This window comes from Homo sapiens, chromosome 19 (genome assembly GCF_000001405.40).
Source record: "Homo sapiens chromosome 19, GRCh38.p14 Primary Assembly".
Classification (NCBI taxonomy): Eukaryota; Metazoa; Chordata; class Mammalia; order Primates; family Hominidae; genus Homo; species Homo sapiens.
This window is the reverse complement of record NC_000019.10, coordinates 31,876,184-31,890,207: the sequence shown is the minus strand read 5'-3', so window position 1 is coordinate 31,890,207 and position 14,024 is coordinate 31,876,184. Positions and strand designations below refer to the sequence as shown.

General features: G+C 45.0%; 1 long non-coding RNA gene across 21 annotated transcripts in view; it reads left to right on the top strand.

Annotated features, from left to right (window-relative positions):
* Window positions 1-14,024, top strand: part of LINC01837 (long intergenic non-protein coding RNA 1837) — a 234,720-nt gene that overhangs the window by 181,892 nt on the left and 38,804 nt on the right. For 18 of the 21 annotated variants that reach the window (XR_007067222.1, XR_007067219.1, XR_007067217.1 and 15 more), the window contains 2 exons: window positions 2,282-2,453; window positions 3,230-3,582. This is a non-coding gene — a long non-coding RNA (long intergenic non-protein coding RNA 1837). The remainder of the gene's footprint in view (window positions 1-2,281; window positions 2,454-3,229; window positions 3,583-14,024) is intronic. The other 3 variants (XR_001753907.2, XR_001753908.2, XR_002958401.2) reach the window with 1 other exon arrangement.

Here is a 14,024-nt window from a genome sequence, read left to right as displayed (position 1 = left end):
AAATATGACTGCAAAACTGCCCTGAGCTGCTGGTCTCAGCACACTGCCAATAGGGTAGCCCTGCTCTGCAGGGTCAGTCACGGAGCTGCAACACTGCCACTTCAGTAAAGCTGTTTTCTTCTACCCTACCACTGGCTTGCCCTTGAATTCTTTTCTGGATGAAGCCGAGAACCCTGTGGGCTAAGCCCCATTTTTGGGCTCAGCTGGCCTGCGACGCTTCCACCCGCAACACTCATTGAGGACCTGTGGAAAGTGCTTTATCCATAACATTCTCTCTGCACATGGATCCTGATGGGCTGGACTTGGGAACAAGCGCTTTAACCTTGAAAGATTACAATATTGTCATGCAATCAGTAAATTCTGTTATTAAATGTTACAGCTGCTAAATTAAACGATAAGAATAACTAGTATTTTGAAATTCTGAACATCTTGTAATTAGAGCAGCCTTGAAAAAAGTATTCCAAGCTAAGGCACATTAGAATGTATTCCACAACAGGGAGACAGCCTGACAAAGAAACATTATTCTTAGATTTACAATTAATTACCCTTATGTCTATACCTTGCATTCAATTTGCATATCTTAAGAGCGCTGTAAATTTCACAGGACTCCCTGTTATTTAAGATCACTCCGCTTAGTAAAAGTTTCTTCAGTGATAACTTTTTCTTGATTATGTAGTTGTGAGGTCAGTAAATCTGGCTCTACTTTGCTCTCCCATGTTATAATTTTTCCTTTTTGTGTGTGTTTTTCATTATTTGGCTTCTTGTTCCTTCTGCCCCCTCATTTATTATTCCCCAAAGAGCCGACAGATAGAGACACTGGCTGGAAGACGAAGCGAGTGGTCGCAGTCTGAGATGTTATCTTTTCCCCACTACGCATTGGTACTGGGTGTCTGACATGTTCTATACATCTTTCTGGTGCCAACCTCATTAAACAAATACAACTTGATGTATAGCTCTCAATAAATGAAATTCTATGCAATAGATTTGTTCTTGCCCCGTTGGTGCAAGAACACCACATACCTCTCTGCCTCTCTTTCTCTCTCTCTCTTACCCCCCGCTTTTTTTTTTCTGAGCCCCTCACCTCCTAAGTGAGTAGGTTCATTGTGATTTCTCTTTGCAATTTTGTACAGTCACCACTAATTTCATAACCTTTCATTGGACTGAGTTTTTATGCTCACTGTGAATGTTGTATTTTAAAAAGACTGCATTGGATACCCTAAATTATTCATAAGGAGCCATGAACACTGTATAAAGTGGTATATGTTTGGTAGGATGTTGTTAAGTATGTTTACCTTGAGAAGACACACATGTAGCTCTTGCACTCACTTCCACCTGCTGTCACATACACACTGTAACATCTATACTTTCAGAGGTGACTCCATATAAAGGTGCCTATGAGGGAGCTAGCAATCCTAAGGAGAAGGATCTGCCACACTTTTGCAGAATTGTAAATATCAACTGCAGTCTGTTACAAACCATTTAAAGGATTTAAAAAACAAAAATATTTTTCGACCAAAAGCAACCTGTAGTTTAAAAGACCATTTTTGTTAAAAAAAAAAAAAAAAAAAAGTTGGCCGGGCGTGTTGGCTCATGCCTGTAATCCCAGCACTTTGGGAGGCCGATGCAGGTGGACCATCTGAGGTTAGGAGTTTCAGACCAGCCTGTCCAACATGGTGAAATCCCATCTCTACTAAAAATACAAAAGTTAGCCAGGCATGGTGGTGGACACCTGTACTCCCAGCTACTTGGGAGGCTGAGGCAGGGGAATTGCCTGAACCAGGGAGGTGGAGGTTGCAGTGAGCCAAATCGTGCCACTGCACTCCAGCCTCGGTGACACAGCAAGACTCCGTCTCAAAAAAAAAAAAAAAAAAAGAGTCACTAATAATTAAAACTGGTATCCCCATTGGGTGAAATTTTGAGTTGCTGTTATTTTGTTCCATTTTGGTTTTTAAATGTATTGTATTGCCAATATTTACTAAACTTGGGATGACACTCCATTTTGAAGCTGAGTTAACTGTATCATAGACCAAGATGTGGTGCCATGCAGTGTAGATTTTGTCATACTTAGGAGAATTTGGTTCTGGAAATCACATCCTGGGGTATGAGAGCCCAAGCCTTGTGCTTTCTGAGAAAGGAAGAGGAAAAACGTCCCCTTCCCCCTTTAATTTTATTTTAAGCATGACCAGGTAATTTCCCATGGCTTCCTCTTCTCACTTATTAATTGGCAGTTTATTAAAGCAATTTTTGAAAAGTTAATACCATTGTCATTTCTCCATTACAGTTCTCAGAGAACCAAGTGTTAAGGAATGTCAGGGAAGGAAGAAGGCAGCCAGCCAGGAAGGGGAGGTCCTGGCCTGAGCACGCCAGGCACAGAGGGATAGAGGGTAGGGAGGAAACTGCACCTGTCTCCAACCCTCGACCCCAGCCCCGAAACACGACATTGGCTGAAACAGGTGCCTCACCTCCTTCTCAAATAGTCTCTTCCTCTCTCCCTTTGCCTACCCTCTCTCCGTTTCCTCACACCCAGGTATCTTCTTACTCTTTTTGGAAGGTGGGTGGGTGAAATATTAACTTTTTTAACACAAGTATTAATTTCTGATGGTGACATCCTTCCTGACAGTTCAATATGTAAGTGAGTTCCTACGACTTCACAAAGCCCATTCATCCTGCGTTTTCATGGGCCGAATGCAAGTGAATGTGAAAGAGGCTCTCTCCTCATTGATTGTAATATAATATTTCCATTAAAATCATTTTTAAAAGCCTTCCAAACAATGCTTTCTCAAAGAATATAAAGCTATCTCTCAGATTAGCTGTCCTAGAATACCTTGGCAAAAGTATCCTAGTAGCAAGAGTTTCCCTAGTCTTATGTCCTATATACATCTGTTAAATTACTCTGAGATCTCATTAAATAAAGCTAATGTACTTGTAAAACAGTAGGGAGAGACAGTTTATCATTGTAACTGTTAAAGAGAGCCATTCGGGTAGGGAGAGAGCCAAGAAGACTAGGTATATGCTGGTCAGTGTAGATGTTTCTAAGTCATAAATCTTGCCTCTTTCCTGCCTAGTTATTGTGTATTTCTTTAGGTGAGAGATTGATTGTAGCGGCAGAAGATGAATTTGCCCATAGTCTCTTTCTTTCTTCCTCTTCTTCTTCTTTTTCTTTTTTATATTCCCGATGTTTCGCCAAGGTGATAATGCTCTTTCTCCCCCCTGCAATCATTTGTTTCAGATTAAAAGCATAAAATGGCCCAAAGAAATGGGAGAAGGTTGGCCTCTGGTCGGGCAAACATGAGGGCATGAAGATATATAATGTCCCACACGGGAGGAAACCCTTGCCGGGCCCCTCAGGATTTATAACAAGCTCACCTGAAGGAGAAACTTCAGGGGCACTTACACCATCAGATACCTAGAAAGGAGCTGTCATTTCCTCACTGAAGAGTTTGCAAGCAGATGGTAAAAGGGGTTTAATTTGAAAACACTGAAACATCGTGTTCGCTCAAAACCATGACAATTGCAGTTTTATTGTCTCCACTCAGGAAAATGTGTGTCTGGATCATCTTGTGGCCCGAATGGGGAGAAAAGGTACTTTTCATGAATATATATAGATGCTGAATTTATAAGGATCAATATAGTCACCAAATGTTGTACAACATGTCAGGATATCATAAAAAGCAGGCAGTTCTACATAAAATACCAGCTTAATCTTGGAGATTTTAAAGCCTCATTAAAATGTGGATAAAGTCCATATATGGAAAGGCAGCCTTCAAAAGGTTGAAGTTATGTATCTGTAGGGCAGGAATTGTATCCTCCACTTCTGAATGACAGTGGCCTTGTGGGTTTCAGTGGGTGGTGATCAGAGGCTTCTGGCTGGGCAGGGTCCTGGTCTGGGGGTGGACCAGGGGATGGTTGGCACTGTGGGATTAGGGCTGAGTGCCTTCCCCATGCTTTGGGATTCCCCAGTCCTCTCCTTTAGGATGGTAGATTTAGTTAGAGAAGCCACAGTGGACAGGTCAAATCCTGTGATCTTTGGTAATCTGGCACATTCATTGATTTTATTATTTTGTAAATTGGAGGTTAGCTGCCTCTGCAGCAGAGTATTGGCAAAGAGGGATACTTAGAGGGTCTGGGTGATGTAACAGGGAGACTCTATATGATCATCTTGAGGGGTTAGGGAGAGAATTGTTTACTGAACGTTCCCTCAATGTTCCCTGGCAGCCCAGAGGTGAAGTTCCTCACTGGGAACTGTTCATGCAAAGAAAACAAGGCTCCCTCTCCCTAGTGTCTGAGTTTCTCTCCTCATCTAACCCACAGCTTCCAATGGAGACTGCCTTCTTTTCTAGAGCCCAGAACAAGCCAGCCCCTCTGGTGCAAAGCTCTTTGCACTCTTGTTGGAGGTCTATGTGGTTTTGGCTCATCTGCTTATTTTTTTTCTGGAGAAACTTTGAAAGTCGAGCAAATACTTTTATCCTGACCTTTCTGCAACATTGGCCCATATTCACCGCTTGTCAGCAGCACAAGTTGGCCAGCAGTCATCTGTCACTGCCAACCGTCACTCTACTGCCATTTCCATCAGCCCCATTACCTGGGATCAGGCGCGAGCAGAGCCCTGTGTTGGAAGGATCATTAAACTTGAGGCTCCCAGGTAGCACAGGTAGTCCAGGTGGCCTGTTGTTATTTATAATAAAGGAAAGTGCAGCAGAAGCACCTGACGGTAGCCCAGGAGGCCGGCAGAGGACGCCTGAGCAGTGTCACTGCTGAAGGACAGTTAAAAGTGGACTCTTCCCCCCCTCACTGTAAGCAAAGAGGATTTATTGAACATCTGTTCTGTACATGGCTGGGAAGATTGATTAATTTAATTGCTCACACTTTGCTTAAGTAACATTTGAATACTTAATGTCAAGTTTGAAGGATATTCCAACATTTGCCAGTGCACCTTCTCCTTCATGTTGCAGAGGGAGCTTTGGAAGGGAGTGGGAGAGTGTGACCGTCTGGAGCTCCTTCTAAATTCTCCTTCTTGGAGAGCCTGCAGGAGTTGCCAGTGGGAAAAGCTGCCTCTTTTCATAAAAGCAACTAGTTACTTTTCACATTTTCCCATTGTGATAAATCATTAATGTAATGAGGTTGAATCTTCTTCACTGAGTGGTGGTAATTTTCCCTCTGGTATCAACTATAGAGACAGTTGAGCATATTATATATTTCTGTACCCTTTAACATAATACCGTAATCGTATGAAAGTACCAGATGAGTTAAAGCTGTAGTAATTTATTGCAGGTTATAGGCAGACAGCATATTTAGAAGGAACTCTTGAAAGTTCTACAGAAAACCAGCCTTTAAATGGTTCTCAGCTCATCAACACTTGCCCTTTCTATTATTGGTTGGTTTTTCCTCATCTCACGTGTCAATCTTATCCAGTTTGGAGGGAGAGGTGCCTGGAAAACATAAGCTCTTCCTCTAGTGAAACTTTGTTTTGGGAGGGCTAGGGAAATCTGTATCTCATGCATTGAAACTGTCACCTCTAGACCCCAAGTTGAAAATCACACACACAGCTAGACCAGAGCATAAAAATTAGCACTGGAAATGTATTTCTCAAAGACATTTTCCCTCCTCCCCTGCATTCTTAAACATTTAAAGTGGGATTCCATTTATTTTTTTTTAAAGAATTACACCTAGGTTTTCATGAACATATCTGCAATGGGGAATGAGGCTGACCAAAGTTTAGAAAAATGGTTAGCAGCTGAATTTGGCTTAAAAATGACTGGAAAGGATTTTTATTTATTTGTAAAAGGAAGATATGCCTTTCTATGTTTCATTCTTTTTAGGAACTCCACTTATTCATTTATCCATGAAAATATTCTTGCATGCCTTCACACATTCATTTATTCAGTCAACAACCATTTCTTGTGTGCCAAACTCCTAAAGCGGAGAGAACATTGCTATTTTGTTGGAGGCTTCCTTCAGGATTTGCTATTAAGGAAGACTTTTCTGTTTAAATATATGATTTGATTTTTTTTTTTTTTTGAAATGAAGGAAAATGGGGCAAGGGTGAGTAATGAGGAAGAGGGAGGTGGGTATTCAACGCCAACTGGAAAATGGCACCAGCGTTTTGGAATCCCACTGCGTTTCCCATTGTCAGAGATTCTGTGCTTGACATGCTCACAAAAATGCTTACATCTGGGAGGGCTGAGACCTAGGAGACTGCACTGCTAATTTATTGCCCAGAACCAGAAAAAAAGGAAGAGAATCAGAAACCTGAAAGACTAGGAATGGCTCCACCAACAGACTGAGCTCTGGGTTCCAGGGAGGGTCCATGACAGGGAATGGGCAGGTTGCTGGGAACCCTACAAGCCAAAATGATTCTTGGCAAAGGATAATCTCTGGTCACATCTGATTGAAGTCAGTTGTGGCCTGGGCCGATTTCTTTGAGGGATGCCCGTCTGTCCCCCGCCCTGACCGCACACAATCCATCCCACACCGGGCCTGAGACTGTCAAGGCCAGAGCCAGGTGCCTGGGCTCCGCATATCCTTCTCCATCAGTCATACTGCAGGGAGCAGACAATTAATTCTGGAGCAAAATTGAAAGTCAGAGGCAGAGTCTGAAAGAACAGAATGACAATAATAAAGTGTCCCAGCCTCGCATTAATCTCCCTCACTTCAGGCCTGTCACAGCCGGCCCGGCTGTGACTAATGCCAAGCTTTGCATACAGTGGTCACAGACACCGGCAGCATGCTCCCTTTACAGCGCCGGCGATGCGCTTTGTTGGGTTTTTGACTCTTGCGGAATCACTGAAAAAACATCGCTGCTGGTCATAGGTAAGGGGACAGAGTTCCTCCATCATGTGCCTGGTGATGGATGCCTGGGTCCGGGACCTGCTGTAGGAGCAGGAACAGGAAAACTTCTCTTTCTCTCTGACTATGCCTTTTCCTTCTCTCTTCTACTTCTCCGTCTCATCTCCCATTTCTACCATCTTGGATTAAACTGTCACCACCTTCCTTGATTCTTCCACCTCTTCTTCCTGTTGGTTTTTGTGGTCTCTCTCTTTGCTTTTTCCCAGAGCCTCCCTCATCCAATCCTGTTTCAGGAAGGCAGACTGGAGGGATTTGTTCAAGTGTGGCTGAGCATGTAGATTGCAGGAAATGGGGGTGAAGTATATTCACAGATAAGTCTACAATAATTTGGAAATAAGCTGGAATTGGCTCATACCTGGGAGCTTTGAAGAAATTCAAATGAAAAATGGTGGAATTTTGTCCCAGAGATGCAGTGGGTCCCCACATGGCAACAGGACTACAGGACCCTCATGCCACTCTGGTGTTTCACCGCCCCACCTGGTGAGCAAGGAGAAGGCAGCTGGGGTGATTAATCAAGTGAGGGATCAGTGAACACCTAAACAAATCTAACCCACCAGAGGAAAGAAAAAATGATTCCTCTAATGGGGAATCATGCCTCCCTGATTCAATTGAGTTTTTCTGAGTAAACGAATGGAGAATTCAGGGAGTAGGTCTCATGGCAGATTTTCAAAAGCTGTGTGACATTTTTCCCTCCAAAAATTGTTAAAAACCCTTGAGCTGCAGGGCATCTGCATTAAAATACATTGGTTTTGGGGACAGAAACCAAAAGGTAGGGTTTAACAGTTACGTCTTAGATGCAGAGTTACATTTCTGCAGAGAGTGGCCCGCTGAGCTTATGGGAAAGGCTGCAAGAAAATCCCCAAACCAAGGTGAGCCAGCAGCAAAGAGGTGGGCAGACTTCTAGGGTAAAAATGTCCAGGAATGTGGTTAAAGGAAAATGGCCAGTAAAGAGGGTGTTTCGCCAGCTTGTTCTCTTGATGCGGCCACAAAAGGCTGCAATGGAAGATGAAAACCAAGCCAAAGGCATGCCACTTCTGCCCAACACAGGGTTTGTCCATTTTCTCAAGGGATCGGCCTCATTGCATGAAGTCAGTCCCCAGAGAGAGCACATTCCGTTTGCACCGGGCCTGCTGCAGAAGGCCCAATGGATGTAGCCCCAGTGACCACTGCAGTCACACCAGGGCCTCTGCGTCTTGGGCCTTGGGCCTCTGCGTCTTCACAAAGATACCCAGAGCTGCCTGAGGATCAGCTCTGCCTGGGTGGAGCCCCACTGCACTGCTCCCTCCCAAATGACTTTTGGGTCCCATCTTCTGCCTTCCACTGTTCCCTTCCCCGATACCTTGTTCAGTCAAATGTGATCTTAGACTGGACAGACTGGGGGCGGGGGGTTGGTGCTCTGCTACAGCTATTTTTTTTGCAAATTTCCAACCTCTGTGTTCCTGTACTCGGCTTCTATCCAGCCCACCCATGCCCCCAACACATGCCAGGAGAAGAAGTGATAAAGTCTGGTTGTTTGTCTCCTTGGAATCTCATGTTGAAATGTGACCTCCAATGTTGGAGGTGGAGCCTGGTGGGAGGTGTTTTAGTCATGGGGGGTGGATTCCTCATGAATGACTTGGTGCCCTTTCCATGGTAATGAGTGAGTTCTTGTTCTGTTAGTTCACACACGAGCTAGTTGTTTAAAAGAGTCTGGCTCTCTTGCTTTCTTTGTCACCGTGTGACACACCTCTCCCCCTCTGCCTTCTTTCCACCGTGACTGGAAGATTCCTCGCCAGAAGCTGAGCAGATGCTCGTGCCATGCTTGTACAGCCTGCAGAATTGTGAGCCAAATAAGCCCGTTTTCTTTATGTATTACCCACCCTCAGGTATTTCTTTATAGCAACGCAAAATGGCCCAAGACAAGAAGACACATCTGGCTGCCCTGGGCTGTAGATGATGGCATAGTGGAGTCTGTTTTCACCAATCCTCTTTTTGTTTCTTGTCCTCACCTGGCTATGCTACACGGAGACTTTCCCACACCTGTTCCTGTAGGGCCTGCCTCTCCACAGCCATCAAAAAAACCAGTGTGATGCTGGTGAATATATTTAAGGCTGCCTTTGCCACATTAAATTCTCCAACCGATATTACGCACCTCTCCCCACCAAAATAACTTATTTGAAGACACTTTAGAAATGCTGGGTAAACAAAACGAAACACGCTGCAAATTGTAAGACTTCTCAGAACCTTTAATTTACCGGCATACACTATGACTTCATGGAACTGAATTTTTATTTTTTTATGATGCCTTCTCCAAACTTCTTAGGACATGGTGCCTGTATTAGCTACATGACCAGTAGACACTGTTTAGCTGCCCTCCTGCCTGAAGACATCACTTGGTCTATGTTCTAGGAGGGAATGCCAGAGGGAGGAAAAATCATTCAGTCCCCCAAAGAGCAGAGTGGATGATATAATTTTAGACCAGGAATTAGAAGATATGGATTCTGGCCAGGCGCAGCGGCTCATGCCTATAATCCCAGCACTTTGGGAGGCTGAGGCAGGAGAATCACTTGAATCTGGGAGGTGGAGGTTGCAGTGAGCTGAGATCAGGCCACTGCACTCTAGCCTGGGCAACAGAGTGAGACGCCATCTAAAAAAATACTAATAAAAATGGAGATATAGATTCTTATTCTGGCATCACAATTTATCTGCTGTGGGGCCCTAGGGGATCCACTCCCGCTCTCTGAAACTGCTTCCCTGCCTCTGGGAGGTGGAATTGGATATGTCAGTCCCTGCAAGCGTCTTTCAGCTCACACAGTTTGTGACTTCATGTACTTGCCAATCTGCTCTCATCACCCCTCCCCCATTTCACCCATTCTCTCACCCCAGGGACTGAGCCAACTCTCTAGAATGAATACATTTGGCAGACAAGGGCTTGCAGGTTGATGAGGAGAGAGCTGTTCTCCTGCTAGAGCTGGGGGCCCAAGCAGGCCAACATGAGCTCACACCTCTCAGACCTGCCAGTCCATTAACATTGCAAAAGACTTTGATGCACTTTGGGGAATTGTGCAACATTGATTTTATTGTCATCTTTTTGCACAAGCAGTAAATAGGCTAACATTTTAGGTACAAGGTAATTATTCCCGAAAAGCAAGACATCAAAATAAAGTTTATAGTTAGCAGCCCGACATTTTGACAGGAGCTGTGTGGAGGTCCCAGAGATGTCTTGCAGTTGCTGAAAAGGTTAAAGATCAGTGTGCTTTACTGGCAACAGGGAGGCACAAAGGTGGTCCCCCTGTGGGGCATGCCATGGGACGCAGAGATGCTGGGCTGGCCCCCAACACAGGCTGGCCCTACTGGAGGCAGTTCTGGGGGGCCTCTTCCTTTCTGTCCAGGATTCAGCATGTCCCTTTTTAATGCCATAAGGAGAGTATGCACCAGTATGGACCTGGTCCTTTTTTGTGTACACACCTACTGTTGTTGCAACCTTGGGTCTTTGCTCACACAAAAGTGGCACACACAAATACCGGGAGATTATCCACCTCTCAGTCCTCTGCTGGGATCTGGAGGCATATAGCGGATCCTACAGGTGGGCTAATGGGTCATTGAAAGGCTTGTATCTCTGGCTTTCTTCTTCCTCTTTTAGAGACAGGATCTCAGTCTGTTGCCTAGGATGGAGAGCAGAGGCATGATCACAGCTCACTGCAGCCTCGAACTCTGGGGCTCAAGGGATCCTCCCACCTCAGCCTCCCAAGTAGCTGGAACTACAGGTGCGCACCATGCCACCTGGCTAATGCATTTTAGTTTTTTGTAGAGACGGGGTCTCACCCTGTTGCCCAGGCTGGAGTACCTCTGGCTTCTAAGGAGTGCTGTTTTTGGATGCCTGATACGATTTGGCTTTGTGTCCCCACCCAAATATCATGTTCAGTCACTATCCCCAATGTTGGAGGTGGCACCAGGTGGGGGGTGATTGGATCATGGGGGTGGTTTCTAATGGTTTAACACCATCTCCTAATGCTGCTCTCATGACAAGATGTGGTTGTTTAGAAGTGTAATCCCAGCACTTTGGGAGGCCAAGGCAGGTGGATCACAAGGTCAGGAGTTTGAGACCGGCCTGGCCAACATGGTGAAACGCTGTCTCTACTAAAAATACAAAAATTAGCTGGGCCTGGTGGTGCATGCCTGTAATACTAGGTGCTTGGGAGGCTTAGGCAGGAGAATTGCTTGAAATCAGGAGGCGGAGGTTGCAGTGAGCTGAGATAGTGCCACTGTACTCCATCCTGGGCAACAGAGCAAGACTCCATCTTGGAAAAAAATAAAAGTGTGTAGCACCTGCCTCCTCTCTCTCTTCCTCCTGCTTTGGCCACATGAACTGTTGGCTCCCCCTTTGCCTTCCACCATGACTGTAAGGTTTCTGAGGCCTCTCCAGAAGCTAAGCTGATGCTGGCGCCATGCTTCCTGTACAGCCTCTGGAACCATGAGCCAATTAAACCTCTTTTCTTTACAAATGACCCAGTCTCAGGTATTCCTTTATAGTAGTGAGAGAACAGGCTAACTTAAACTGAATCCAAAGAGATTACTCAGACTTTGATTAAAGGACATACTGGCTTTGTGTTCTAGGATGCCAGGTCAGTGTGGCCATGTCTTGGGCTTGCTGGCTGGTGCTGTCACTCTGCTGTGCTGGCAAAGGAAGTCTTATGGTATGGATTTTACACAGCACGCTCTGAGCAAGGGTGACCCTGTTGTCCTGGGGAGACGACTGTGTCTAGCCTCTGGACAGCTCTTCTGATCATCCTCTCTGGCTGCCTCAAAACCCCAAGTTCCCTGCCTGTCCTAGTTCCTGAGCTTGTATGTCTATGTGTGGTGGGGGGAGGCTGAAGGTTTATCTGCCCCACTGACTGGCCTTGAACACACAAGCCCCAAGCACAGTTCTTTAGCATGAACTTCTTCCTTCTGGAGGCAACTGTTTGGGGATTATTTGTTTTTCCTGGGCACCTTTTGGTTTGCTTCCTTGCTGGTTACAGATCTATGCAGTGTCTGGCCTCCTTCCATTCAAAATATAGAGAAACGTGCATCTGGACAGAGGCTGGTAGCATCATTTCTATTTGAATCTGGCATGGGGCAAACCCTCACTGAACATCTTATTATGTGAAAGAGTCATTCCAAGAACACAAGTGAAGAAAGCTTCTTAACCTGCTTCCTGTGTCTTGCTGAGTTGGCTTAGAATCTTTCTTCCTTTTGCTTGACTCCTCTAGTGAGCTCAACAGAGAGATTGATTTACCCTCAAGGGAGATGAGAAAGGATGTCTTTTACAGGCATCCTAAGACCCTGCTCTTTGGAAGGGATTCCTCAACTGGCAGAAGACAGTCTGGGGACCCTGGTCTCAACCTTGACACTGCTCATCCAGGGGGTGGCCTCTGCAACTCACAGATGCTTCAGTTCCTGGGGAATGGCATGCACATGTGCATCACTTAGCCTGGAAGGATCCTTTCATCCCATGCACCTGTCCTTGTGTTTCAGCTCAGGCATCTTTTCCTCTAGGAAGCCTTCTCTGTTTGTCTGTCTCTAGACTGACGTGCATTCACTAGACTTTGTCCTTATCAAGAACTCGTCTTAGGGCCTTGAGTTTCCTCATGCCTCTGCGTCCTGTGTTCTGTGATGGCTTGGTTCACCCTACTCCTTTCCATGTCCTCAGCACCTAACACAGGTTGTGACAGCTGGCAGGTACTCCACAAACATCTTTCGCAGGAATATCAGTCCTGCATATCAAACTCATGGCCACTGACCATGTTCGTGGGTGTGGGGAAGATAACTGCTTTTTAAATTTTCCTTGTGATTTCTCTAGGTCTTTTTTGAAGATGCTCTTAGATGATCTTTTATTTCCAGCCCAAAGGATTATTAGGAGAAGCTACAAAAGGAGAGGTTTTGATTTCTTTTTTTTTTTTTTTTTTGAGACGGAATCTCACTTTGTCACCCAGACTGGAGTGCAGGTGGTGCAATCTTGGCTCACTGCAACCTCCACCTCTCAGGTTCAAGCAATTCTCCTGCTTCAGCCACCCAAGTATGTGGGATTATAGGCTTGTGCCACCATGCCTGGCTAATTTTATTTTATTTTTGTATTTTTGGTAGAGATGGGGTTTCACCATGTTGGCCGGGCTGGTCTTGAACTCCTGACCTCCAGTGATCTGCCTACCTGGGCCTCCCAAAGTGCTGGGATTACAGGCATGAGCCACTGTGTTCAGCTAGGTTTTGAATATTTATAATAATAATAACAATGATTTTATGAATTGTTTTTCAAAGCAAAGTCGTTCTTTGGGGGTGCCAAGGAGAGCTGGAGTGGACACCATGAAAGCCTCTTGCCCCTTGGTCACCACTTGTGAGGTCAATGAGTTTTAATGGATGGCACATCTTTAGTCAACTAGCTACTGGGCTAAGAATGTAACGACTTCTGTGCCTGTGCTCTGCAATAGAGCTCCAACTTCCATCTGTTGGAAACATGTCTCTCCTTGCCCAAGAAACAGGAAAGAAGGGATGTCTCAACCCAATGTCACCTTTTGACTCTCTTTGGAACCCATAGGCATCGTCCCTCTGCGAGGGAGTTTATCTCAGTTCTTCCTTCTAGATGGACCACAGGAGGTAGCTTTTGAGACCACGAGAAGGCTATGAGCATGTGAGGCCCGGAGTCTTCCATCTGTCCACAGGGCATGTTGCCAAACCAAAATCTTCAACATCCAACTAGATGATGTCTCCATAAGGCCAAACTATCAAGTGAAATGCAATGATTAATTGTTATTTCCTTTTTATTTCATTCATTTTCTATTATTTTTATTTATATCTCATTTTATAATTTTTATATCATTGTTATTCCTACTGCCTATTTTTTGATATTTAGAGGGTCACCTTAGCAATGAAACATCACGGTTGGGCTTCAATTATTGTGCTGCCACTTGCCACACATGTGACCTTGAGTGATTTAGCCTTTCAACTTGAGTTTCGTAATTTGTAAATAAGAAAAATGTTAACCCCTACTTCCTTAGGAGGTTGCTAGCATTATGTGAGCGAATGCAGGCAAAACCCTGGGGTGAGGTTGTGTCCCTCAGCAGGTATGGGCTTGTTCTTTGCACAATTTTGCCTGGGAGTTCTATGTCTGGGACTTGAGAAGACTGGGCTTCTGGGCCTTTTTTATGTCTTGACTTTCCTGG